The 11,772-nt window shown below is 35.6% G+C and overlaps 1 protein-coding gene across 1 annotated transcript; it reads right to left on the bottom strand.

Moving 5' to 3' along the window:
• Nucleotides 1–251: 251 nt before the first annotated feature.
• Nucleotides 252–5,462, bottom strand: OR6F1 (olfactory receptor family 6 subfamily F member 1). Its single transcript, NM_001005286.2, has 3 exons — nt 5,147–5,462; nt 2,707–2,770; nt 252–1,633 (listed from the first exon to the last, which is right to left on the bottom strand). Exon 3 carries the CDS (start codon nt 1,569–1,571, stop codon nt 645–647), a length of 927 nt encoding a protein of 308 aa, NP_001005286.1. The 5' UTR covers nt 1,572–1,633; nt 2,707–2,770; nt 5,147–5,462; the 3' UTR covers nt 252–644.
• Between the last annotated feature and the right edge of the window lie 6,310 nt (nt 5,463–11,772).

Raw genomic sequence — 11,772 nt, forward strand, 5'->3', positions numbered from 1 at the left:
GATCAATGTTGTTATGCAAGAAACTTCTGTTGCTTTGTTCAAACTCTCCTGCAGTCCCGTTTATCTACTTTTCATCCTCCACTTTTTGGATTGCTTTGTTCACTATCCTTGTGAAACAAATGTGGCACCTTGTAATGATCAAGTTCTAATTCCATATCTGTCTGTTTGACTATACCTTATCAAAAAATACTATGCTGCAATAACTGCACACACTCTAATTTCAGTTACATGTTTTAATTCATTTAACCTTTGCCTATTTCTCTTCCCTCGTGTTCCACAAATGTAGTTCTCAATATTTTATACTAAGACAATTTTGCTAATCTTTAAAAAGAAACAAGAATTTAGAGCTGATATACCAAAGCACTCTTTTTATTGCAGATGTCTCTAATTTATAAACCAAAGTCCAGAGCAAACCTAATTCAATGTATAATTATTTTTTGCTTAAAAATCCCATTTGCTTATGTCAAAAACTCCCATTTTTATCATACATGATAATGTATAGAAAATACAGTATTGCTTGTTTTGTTTGTTTGTTTTTTCTCTGTGTACCAAGAAAGATTTGCCCTATTCCTCCACATTCTTACTTGGAACCTCTGTATAGATGCAGAGACCATTTACAGGACATCTGTTGTGGTAGAGGAGATTTATTTTCCCTTCCATTTCTTCAGCAGAGTCTCTCTTACTTCCTTATTACGAAGCGTATAGATGAAGGGGTTTAAAACTGGAGTCACCACAGTGTTCAGGACGTGGACAGCTTTGATCAGATCCAAGGCATCTTTGATAGAGGTGCGGACGTGAAGGAAAACTGTGGACCCATACCAAATGAGCACCACGGTGAGATGCGAGGAGCACGTGGAGAAGGCTTTGCTCCGGCCACTGGCAGAGGGGATCCTGAGGATGGTGCTGATGATGTACACATAGGAGACAAAGGTGATGAGGCATGAACTCAGGATAACCACAACAGCAATCACAAAGGCCACAAGCTCTACTGCCTGTGTGTTGGTGCAGGCCAGGGCAATCCAGGGTGCAATGTCACAGAAGAAGTGGTTGATGGCACGGGGGCCACAGAAGGACAGGCCACTGATGAGGGCTGTGGGCACTGCAATGGCCACGAAACCACACACCCAGGAGCCCAGGGCCAGCTGCGCTGAGAGCAGGCTACTCATGATGGCTCCGTAGTGTAAAGGATAGCAGATGGCAAGACAGCGGTCATAAGCCATGGCTGCCAGGAGGAAGTACTCTGTGCAGCCTAATGAGAAAACAAAGTACATCTGCAAAAGACAGCTTGTAAATGATATGGTCTGACTTCTCCCCAGTAGGATGGCCAGTGCTTTGGGCACTGCTGCTGTGGTATACCAAATCTCCAGGAAGGAGAGGTTGCTCAGAAAGAAGTACATGGGGGTATGCAACTGATGGGAGGTGCTCACCAACATCAAGATAGCCACATTACCACTAACTGTGAGGATGTACATCACCAGAAAAAGCATAAAGAGAGAGAGCTGAAGAGTTTGAGAACCAGGAAAGCCCAGTAAGAGAAAGTCCTGGGGCAGAGTTTTGTTGCCTGTGTCCATTGTGGTACTGAAACCAGAAAACAGAGTCCCCGCACTGAGCCCTTTAACCCAATCACACAGTCCTAGAAAGATAAAAAGAATGGATTCATGAAAGAGCTCCAATAATTAAATGTAATTATTGGAGATATGATGTAACTTTCATTGAATGCCTGCTCTGTGTTTGGAGGCATAGTTAATATCAGTTATTTTAATGAAACAGTGAGATATGTATTATTATAACCAATTATCAGTTTAGAAAACAAATGTGCAAAAAACGTCAGCAATTCTGGAAAGACTGCACTAATAGCTACATTTCAGCTCCAAGATTCAACTCCAGTCTTTCTGCCTTCATCCCACTCTGAGCCACATTCCAGCTCAGTCCCAGATTACATCTAAACCCAGAAAGCGCTGACTGAATTTACTACATTTTAACTAGACTCTGCATGGCCCCTGGCTGAAACATGTAATTTTGTCTTTGTTTAGAAATTGGCCCAGTAAACCTAAGTTCTAGTCACATACGTATTTAGCAGTTGTAGCTTCTAAATTGATCTAATTCATAAGATTTGTCTTCAAAAATAATGTTCAAAAGTCACCAAAGGTAACTTTAAAATTAGTTTCAAAATGAGTTTTGTCTTCTCTTGATGATTTCATGTTTAAACATTATATGACAGATACTTCTCATCAAAAAAAATATATTTCCATATTGAACAATACACTGAAGCTAACAGTCTAGGAAATCCTGATGCCCACTTGGAAGTGAGTACACTGAAAGCAGGTGAAGGGCAAAAAATCATTGTGAAACCAGTTTTTAAAATTCTCATAGTTTATTTCTAAGCACTAGTTTTGAGAATAGAGTCTGTAAATTCGAAGGTCAATTGGGAAGCTATTACTGTCAAACGTACAGGTGACCAAAACCTATGTTTAGGAGACAGAGTTTTGAAGAAAGACAGTGAAGACTTTGGCGGCTTCATTCTAGGAATTCCCTTATAAATAGAAATGTTCTCTCTCCATCCTCATGTGTCCTACCCTCGCGTTCACCAACGCCGAATGTTGTTTCCCGCATAAACCCAAAGCTACTGCATGTATCCACTGTCGCTAAGGGCATTTAGACTATAAAATGGGTCTACAAAGTAAACGGTGCATACATTGGCTTTACCTCATTGATGGCAGAAGGGGCTTCCAAGCAGTGCTTCTCAAGCTCTAATGGGCACATGAATCACCTAAGGGTATTGCCAAAATGCAAATTTTGATTAATGCACCCTTGACATGCAGCCTATGGTTTTTCATTTCATATGTTTCCAAATGTCACTGGCCAGGACCATACACTGAGAAGCAAGGATCTAGCATCTTTCTCATTTTATAAAAAGGTAATAAATCTGCAGCTTTGCTTGACTGGGTAATGAAGAAGTACAGAGTATGCCACCATAAAATGTGCTCCTCTGGCACTGGATTATTTTGAACTGAAGACAATTGTGAAAGACAAAAAATAGAGAGACACAAGAAAAACTCTCTGGCCGCCCCCTTTCTACCAGGAAGGATTGGATGATTTTTAATCACCAAAGACAACTCTAGGGTCTTATCATCCTAGAGAAGGCAACAGAGGAATATACTCAACAGACCTTGCTTAAATAACCCTTATATTCCACTAATCTCCCCATATATCTACCTTCCCACAATTCATACCCCTGAGAACCCCTTCCTTTGTCTTGTCGCTTCTCTACAAATTTATTGTATTTTTGTTAAAATACTATATAAGACCAAGTTCTAACCAATTCTTTGAATTACTCATCCCTGAATTCTCCCGTGTGTATGTGCAACGCACTTGTCAATAAACTTCTGTTTTTTTGTTGCTTATATGTCTTTGGTGAGTCTAAATTGCAGGATTCCACCCACTGAACCTAAGATGGGAAGAAGGAAAATATTTTTTTCCTCCTTTACACTGGTAAAGGAGCCTAGATTATGAATTCATTACCCTAATACAGAAAAAAATGCCCTAGATACTGATGGGTGACATAGAATAAGAAACACAAAGAAAGGGTGTTCTTTAACAATAAATACTAAATAATATATTTGCAGATTTCTTAAAGCTAATATATTCCAACATATGTGTCATTCACGGCCAACCAGTACATGTAATAACTATTTTTGAATTCAAGTGCCAATGTCAACTGTTAATGTCTTTTGGTATAATCCATTTTTTTTTCTTTAAAGGTCATCAGGGAGCATTGTTAAGAACAGCAAAAAGTAGCTAACATAGTGAATGGTGAATTGCCAGTCACTAGACTGTTAGCTAATGTGATCTTTGTAAATCCTGTTAGCTTGCTTTTATCCTACTTGTTTCACAAATGAGAAAACCAAAACACAAAGAAGCTGAAGAAGTTATTCAAAGTGGAGCCATGACTGTCAATCCAAGACGTCTGATTCTGGAGCCAAAGCACTTTGAACTTGAGGCTTTCAGATATTTTTTATAGGTTCCTACGGCATCTGATTGGCAGATTTTAAAAATATTTTAATTTATGTTCCAATAGAAATCGCTGGGCAAAGCTATTTTGAAAAGCTAGTATGAAATAATTCTATCTTAATTCTTAACTTCTATGAGTAATGTGAATAAGGCAATTATACTCATAATTTTCTATATTCAAAATTCAAAAATCATTTTGATAACTAAAAATTATAAAATAAATATCCAGAACCATATTATGAAATGACATTTTTGTATTTTACTTTTACTTATGCTGCTGAATTTGTCAGATGCCATGACCTAATATTTACGTGAAGCACATGATGATCAACCCCACATGTGAAAACCTGTATATATTGCTCTAGACTCGAGTGTTTCTCGTTTTACTTCTAAGACAGCCTAAATGGAAATCTGTGGATGTGACTTAACAAGAGCTTAAAATAAAAATCAGAGAAAAATATAGTTTGATTTATTAGGTTGAAGTAAATTACCTTTTAATTTTTCAGATTAACTAACAGATTAATCTTTCTTATATAAGTCGATTGAATTTTTAATAATTTTTTTGTTTGAGTATAAGTAATTTTAATTTCTTACATCTGAAAAATAATTTTAAATACATAATATGACAGTTATTTTTTCATAGAAACATGCACTATCTTATTTAAAAACACCTACATTAAAATTGTTTCTTACTCTCAGGAGGTTTTCAGTATTGATTGAATACTATAATGGATCAATCATATACCACAATTTTGTGATTACAAATTTACCCATCTGGCGGACGTGGTGACTGACACCTCTAATCCTAGCACTTTGGGAGGTCAGGGCGGGGGGATCACTTGAGGACAGGAATTTGAGACCAGCCTGGGTGACATGGTGAAACCCCCTCTCTACTAAAAATACAAAAATTAGCCAGGTGTGGTGGTGCATGCCTGTAGTCCCAGCTACTCGGGAGCCTGAGGCAGGAGAATCATCTGAACCCAGGAGGCAGAGGTTGCAGTGAGCCAGGATCGCGCCACTGCACTCCAGCCTGGGCGACAGAGTGAGACCCTGTCTCAAAAAAAAAATTAGAAATTACCCATTGATGAAACACTGGACAGAACTTGTCGAATGCATAATCACCCTTTTCACTTACCCAGTTGAAATTCTTTCTGCCATAAACTCCAAAAGCTTTGTCTCTTGACCTTACTTTTACTCATTTTTTATTCCATGATTTTCTTTATTTAAAAATAATATATTTTGATTGCAATTATTCCCTCTATATCTCTGTTTTTCTTTGATTATCTTGCTGTTTAATAGTGTGCTTCCTTCGGTTGACATCCATTACTCCTTTATTAACTCAAACTTTCATAATCTTTGAAATTAGAGCTCAGTCTTTTTCTGTTTCCTTTTGTTCTTATGCTCTGACCCCATTCTGTCCTAGTTCCATTCCACTTCCCTTTTGTTGTTTTATATTTTCTCCATCTCTCTTCATCATAATTGGCACGACTCTGGAAACCACTTGTTTTTAAGTAATTGCTTATGTACGGATGAATCTTCTGGGAGATGAAGTCTCTCTCAGGTATCTAGGGCTAGTTCAAAAAGACATGATGCCCTTGCACTAAATCTTTCCAAATGGATGACTTCAGAATGTTTTCAGTTATTTAATTTAAACAACTAAATTGTAAAGTTATTGGAACAGGAAAAGGATATCTCTTTGGGCTTTATATATGCTAATCTAAGTATTTTGTCTTGCGGAGAGTTTTTAGCAAATACAGCCATTTAATAAGTTCAACAAGTTTGTGAAAAACTCTTTAAAACAGATCAAACAGAATAAAATTGGACAAATGACCTTAACTAAAAATATAATTAAGTACTATGAAGCATGATATAACTAGAAATTTAAAATTATCTCTGAATTAAAAAAAAAATCTGCCTGGCTGTTCATCAGACTAAAATAGCAAGGGAAGAAAAAGCCAGTTATAAATATATCAGAAGACAATTTTACCCAAGGACATGTTGGAGTTGTAAATTGTCATAATGATTCTCTTCTTTGAGTGATAACTGTTTTCTCACTGAGAAAATTTCTTATTTAAAAATCTTTCACATCAGAAATTTGTTGTTTTCAATCATATGGATAAGAAAAAAATATGGCACCCTTTCTAGGAGTACCTAATTCACGCTGACAGAGACATACAACCTCACATTCTATTCGAGGAGCAGAGCTTCAGATAAAAAGTTTCTGAACACAAAATTTCTCATGTATCTTAATTTTGTAGTTTCCAAGGAAAAAGAACATTTGTGTCCAGATCTGATGTTGACCTTCCATAAGGAGCTTTCTTTGCTTTCCGCCTATTAAATCACTTCTTTTAAATTTCACCTCAACTTCACCCTTCCCCAAATTTAAAATAATTGTCTTTTACATTGTTTAATGAGACGCCCTGTGATCCTTGTGATTTGCAGCCCCCTTTACGTCCATGGGTCAATAAAGCTGACTGCTGGACTATAAGGATGCCTCTAGAAGACTTAGGCTGATTGAGCTCAGGTAAAACTAGAAGAGTGAAAACACATGCCGTGATCCTTCTACAGAAATATTTCCTAAATTCTAGAAAATTCACTTGCAAACTTATAATTGTTCTACACAATTAAATTTTAGTTAAAGGTATATTATCATCTATGTGCTTGTAGGGTAGGGAAAATGGCTTTCCTTCACCCTTCTAAGTTCTTTGACAGGGCTACAAATTAAATTGCCACAAGACAGACTAACAGGAGAAAAATTACATTCAATAATGTTCATATACACAGGAGTCCCACAAAATATGAGATTCAAAGAAGGGCCACATGATTGAGGCTTATATAACACCCTTAGCTGTAGATAAGATTAAGGGGTAGGGATCTCTGGAGCATAGCGTTGACAGGTTATGGGAGCATGAGGGGGAAAAATGTATTGTGCATACACATTGTCTTGTTATGCAGATAAAAAGTATATCAGATAATGAAAGTTGCCCTAGAGCAGCCTTCTTCCTGATACAGATACATTTTCTATTGTAGATTTTCTCTAGAGATGTAGTTTTTTAAAAAATAAAAAAGTAGCCATGTCTGCAGTTTCTCAAAGTAACCTGCTGGAAATTTGCCCAAGAAGTATACTTTGAGGTGACGTATTCTGATCTCTTACAGTCATATTTTGGAGTTGTATCCTAAGCCCCAACACGTTGATAAGCATTTTTTTTTAAGTTATTGAGAAATAAATCACTATGCAAAACAACTTAAGAAATAGAAAAGAAACAATAGAATTTCTCTCCTTTGCTGTTTATATTTAATATTTTTAGTTTGTTTGTTCGTGTGAAACAATCTGAAAATATATTCTACAGTAACACCAGTAATGCTTATGTTTGGGCTCAGAAAATGATACCTCAAAGTATGACACTTTGGCATGCTGAGTACTTTGGAAAAACTGGATAGCTATATACAGAAGAATGAAATTGGACCCTGTCTCACACAATATGCAACAATCAATGCAAAATGAATTAAAATTCCATGACTTTGGTCTGAGCAATGATTTCTTGGATAAGACCCCCAAAACACTGGCAACAAAAGCATTAGACAAATGGGATTGCATCAAACTAAAAGGCTTCTGCATAGCAAAGGAAATAGTTAACAAGAGACAAACTGAATTAGGAGAAAACTTTTGCAAACCATATGTCTGATACAGAGTTAATATCTGAAATAAATAAGACACTAAACTCAATAGCAAGAAAACAAATAATCTAATTTAAAAATGGGCAAAGGACCTGAACAGTTATTTCTTAAAAGAAGGTATATAGTCAACAAATATATGAAAAAGTGCACAGCATCCCTAAAGATCAGGGAAATGCAAATTAAAACCACAGTGAGACATCACCTCACACCTGTTAGAGTGGCTATCATAAAAAAGATAAAAGTTAAGTGTCAGTGAGGATGTGAACTTCAGTATATTTAGGTTTGTAATTCATCTGAATTTTATTTTTTGTATGTGTAGTGTAAGGTGGATTTTAAAAATATTTAATTCTATTTTTTTCTACATTATTTTCCTTTCTAGTCATTCCTTTTCCAGTAATGTATGATTTATCCTCTGTCATATTCTGGTCACCATTCATGAATGGATTGAGTTTTCTTCCTTTGGTCCATTTTCTATCTCTAAACAACCATAATCTTTCAATTACTGTAATATTATAGACATGTTTATATCTGAAAAGCCATTACTCTACTTCTTACTTTTTCATCTTAAAAATTGTTTTAATTTTCATGGCTGTTAAGTTGTGTATATGAATGTTTTAAAAACTTAAGTTCCATTTTGAACTACTTTAAGACTTCAAATGAAAAGTTTATTGGTTACTTATGGAGAATCAACACCTTTATTGAATCTTCTCATCCCTGTACACAGTATATAATCCAACTACTTTCATTTTGTTCATACTCTTAGGTAACTTAAAAAATTATATTCTCCAAAAGTTATTTTTCCCCATTGATGAGTTATTCTCAGATACCATATACTTTTCAATGTTCTTGTGAATATGTAATCCATCTTTAGTTTCTTTTACTGTAGGACTCTCCTTGGTCATTTTGCCCCCAAATTTGACTTTTTGAGCAGTCTCATCAGTCTCTTACAGGATGTCTCATATTATTTGTTTGTTCAGTTGTTTCTCATGTGGTATTATTAAATTTGTATCTTCTGTTTTTCTGAAAACTGGAAGTTAGTTCTGAGGCTTGATTAAACTCCAGGTTAAATATTTTAAGAGAATATTTCAAGGATGATGTAGTCTACATATTGTAACATATCAGGAGGCACATAAGTTATTTTACTATTATTGTTACCAGTTTGATCAATTAGATTATGGAGGCTACCATCATTCTCTTTATTGTAAATATGGAATAGATAGTTTGAGGTTAAAAGCTTGTCATTATGAAGATATCTCATTTTCTTGCAACTCTTTTTCTAGTGGTTTCATCATCCATGGCTGATTCTTGCCTGAATCAATTCCAATATAGATGATTAATATTATGAATTTTTAAATTCTATTATTTCTTAAATATTTACTAGCTGTCAATCTTCTAAAAAATGGTTTTTTATCAATTTTTCCCTGGTAATTAAAACATATTATAGAAAAATAAGGCACTGATATAATTTGGACAGCTGTCATTAAGATGGCTAACTAGAAATGCCCAGCACTCACCTACTCCACAAAGAAGGACTGAGATAGCAAGTAAATAGCCAAATGTTGACGGCACTGTCTAGGAGAGAATGCTGGTATCCAGCAGGGAAGCAAAAGGAACCTTCTGAGGTATGGAAATTCAAAATGGCAGCATAGAGAAGGAAGTAAGGCAGCCAGTTGGATGGGCTAGGAGCCAGGAAGTACTTCCCTTCTCATATGGAAAAAAGGTAAATGAGAGATCCATGTAAGTACACATGTAGGCACCTGCACACACTGTCCAGAGGCTGAAGAGTGGTGTGTCCAGCCTACTGGAACCCACACACCCCACCCAGGAGCCTGAGGGCCAGCCTGTCCAGCCTGCTGTTTCTACAGCCAGCATCCTTGTTACACACTCAAAGGTCTAAAGACTGGCCTACTGAGGGTTTGCTGCCACTACAGCTAGCACTTGCACACACCACCAAAAGGCCTAAGCACCAGTCAACCTTGTGTCCTCATCTTCAGCAAAGGCTAGCCAAAGCATCTGCAAACAACTGCAACCTAAGCCACTAAGGAACGCACAGAAACTACTGACATTGATAACAGTAAAAGAAATCATACAGTGGCTACAGTATGGTGCATATCCAGAACCAAAGCCAAAGCAATCTGCCCAACCAAAATTGAAGCCACATATATAGTAAGAAAAAGTATTTCTTTACAGAAGCTACTCCATAAACCTGGAAGAAGTGACTGTTAAATGCGATGCACAGATATCAACATAGGGATGAAAGAAATACAAAACAGCAAGGAAATATGACACCTACAAAGGAAGACAATAATTCCCCAGTAAAAGACCCCAAAGAAAAGGCATATAAAATGCCTGAAGAAAAATTATTCTCTGAAAGAACCCGAGTGAGATACAAAAGAACACAGATAAATAATACAAAGAAATAAGAAAAAAAATCATGATCCGAATCAGAAATTCGACAAGAAATAGATACCGTAAAAAAGAACAAATAGAAATCCTGGAACTAAAGAATTTAATGAATGGAATAAAAATGTAATTGAGAGCTTCAACAAAATACTAGATGAAGTAGAAGAAAAAAATTTTGAACTTGAAGACAACTCTGTTGAAATAATTCAGGCAGACAAAGAAAAACACAAATACTCCAATTTGATTATTATACATTATATGCCTGAATCAATATATCATATGTACCCTATAAATATATACAATTATTGTGTATCAATAAAACTAATAAAGTATAAGAAAAAGAGGACTATAATTATAAAATATCAGATGCTACTAAAAAAACAAAAGGGAGGACACTGAAAAATCTCAACAGATTTTCCACAATGCACGTAATTTCTTAAATATTTAAACCAAAAATATTTCACCAATATAATTTAACTGAGGGTAGGGTAACAGTCTTTTCTCTTTTACAACTCTGCCTACTCAACTCTGACAATAGGTAGATGTACATGTCAACATAATTGATTCATGTTTAGCATACATTTTTTTCTTTAAAGGGAAAGAACAAATAATTGTGTGATTTTCCCTCTGGTAGAACTTAAAGGAAATTTTATGTGTAAGATATATCATGAAAGTTTAATTTAACCTTATTTATATTTTTAGCATCTTATTTTGGTATGGTAAAAATCAACATAGCTGTCAGAGGATATTTGGGACATGATTAAATAAGATAACATGTGACTCAGAATTATTACCTGGCCATCTAGTTAATTCAATGGTTAATAAAACATTAGTAACATGATTGAAAAAAGAGCATAATAATTGAGAACAATCTTAGGAATATTTGTATTTTTTCTTAGATAAATAAGAACATAACAAAGTCAATATAAAACCCAGAAAGTTATTGTAATAAGACACAGAATCTCTAGGGGGGTTATATAGAAGGTAAAGAAAAAGGTTTCACATTGTAGACACTCGTGGTTAAACCAAAGGAAGTCTATCACAACTGAATGACTTGGGAAATCATTTTAACACATTTCCAAGCTTCTCTTCAGAATCAGATTTAAAACATTATTCTTTATACAGGGAGAGGTGAAGGCCTTTCTGAACTATAGACATGCAGACACATAGAAACACACAGTTCTCAGACCTTCAGAACTCTGCCTGGTCTGTTTCTGGAAATACTATTTACTGGGTGACCACCACTTGCCTAGGAGACCTTGGCTCAGACATGTCTTCTCACCTCTGCTTTAGGTGTCCTGCAGATTGTTTACAGATCTGGGCACACCTCTAAAATGGCCTTAGCTCACTGTGTTATTTTTGCCTAGTATTGTTCTTGCTCAGCTCTAGCTAGATTCTCAGGGGAGTCATGTGAATTTTATCTGGGTAGTATAATGCAAATGCATTATACTGCACTCATTGAATCACCTCAGCATTTTTAATTTGTTCTCAGTGAATAAAATAGAGAAAATGGGTTATTAAGAGACCAAAGATGAAAGCATCATGTTAAACAGAACCAATTCTTTCAGAAAGTTATAATACAAAGGCAGAAATGCTTTGTCATAGAAGAATACCAAATGATTACTATAACACTATGTATTATCCTGATGTAATGCAATTAAGTGACTTAGAAATAGTCAG

The sequence above is a fragment of the Homo sapiens genome, chromosome 1 (assembly GCF_000001405.40).
Source record: "Homo sapiens chromosome 1, GRCh38.p14 Primary Assembly".
Taxonomy (NCBI): Eukaryota; Metazoa; Chordata; class Mammalia; order Primates; family Hominidae; genus Homo; species Homo sapiens.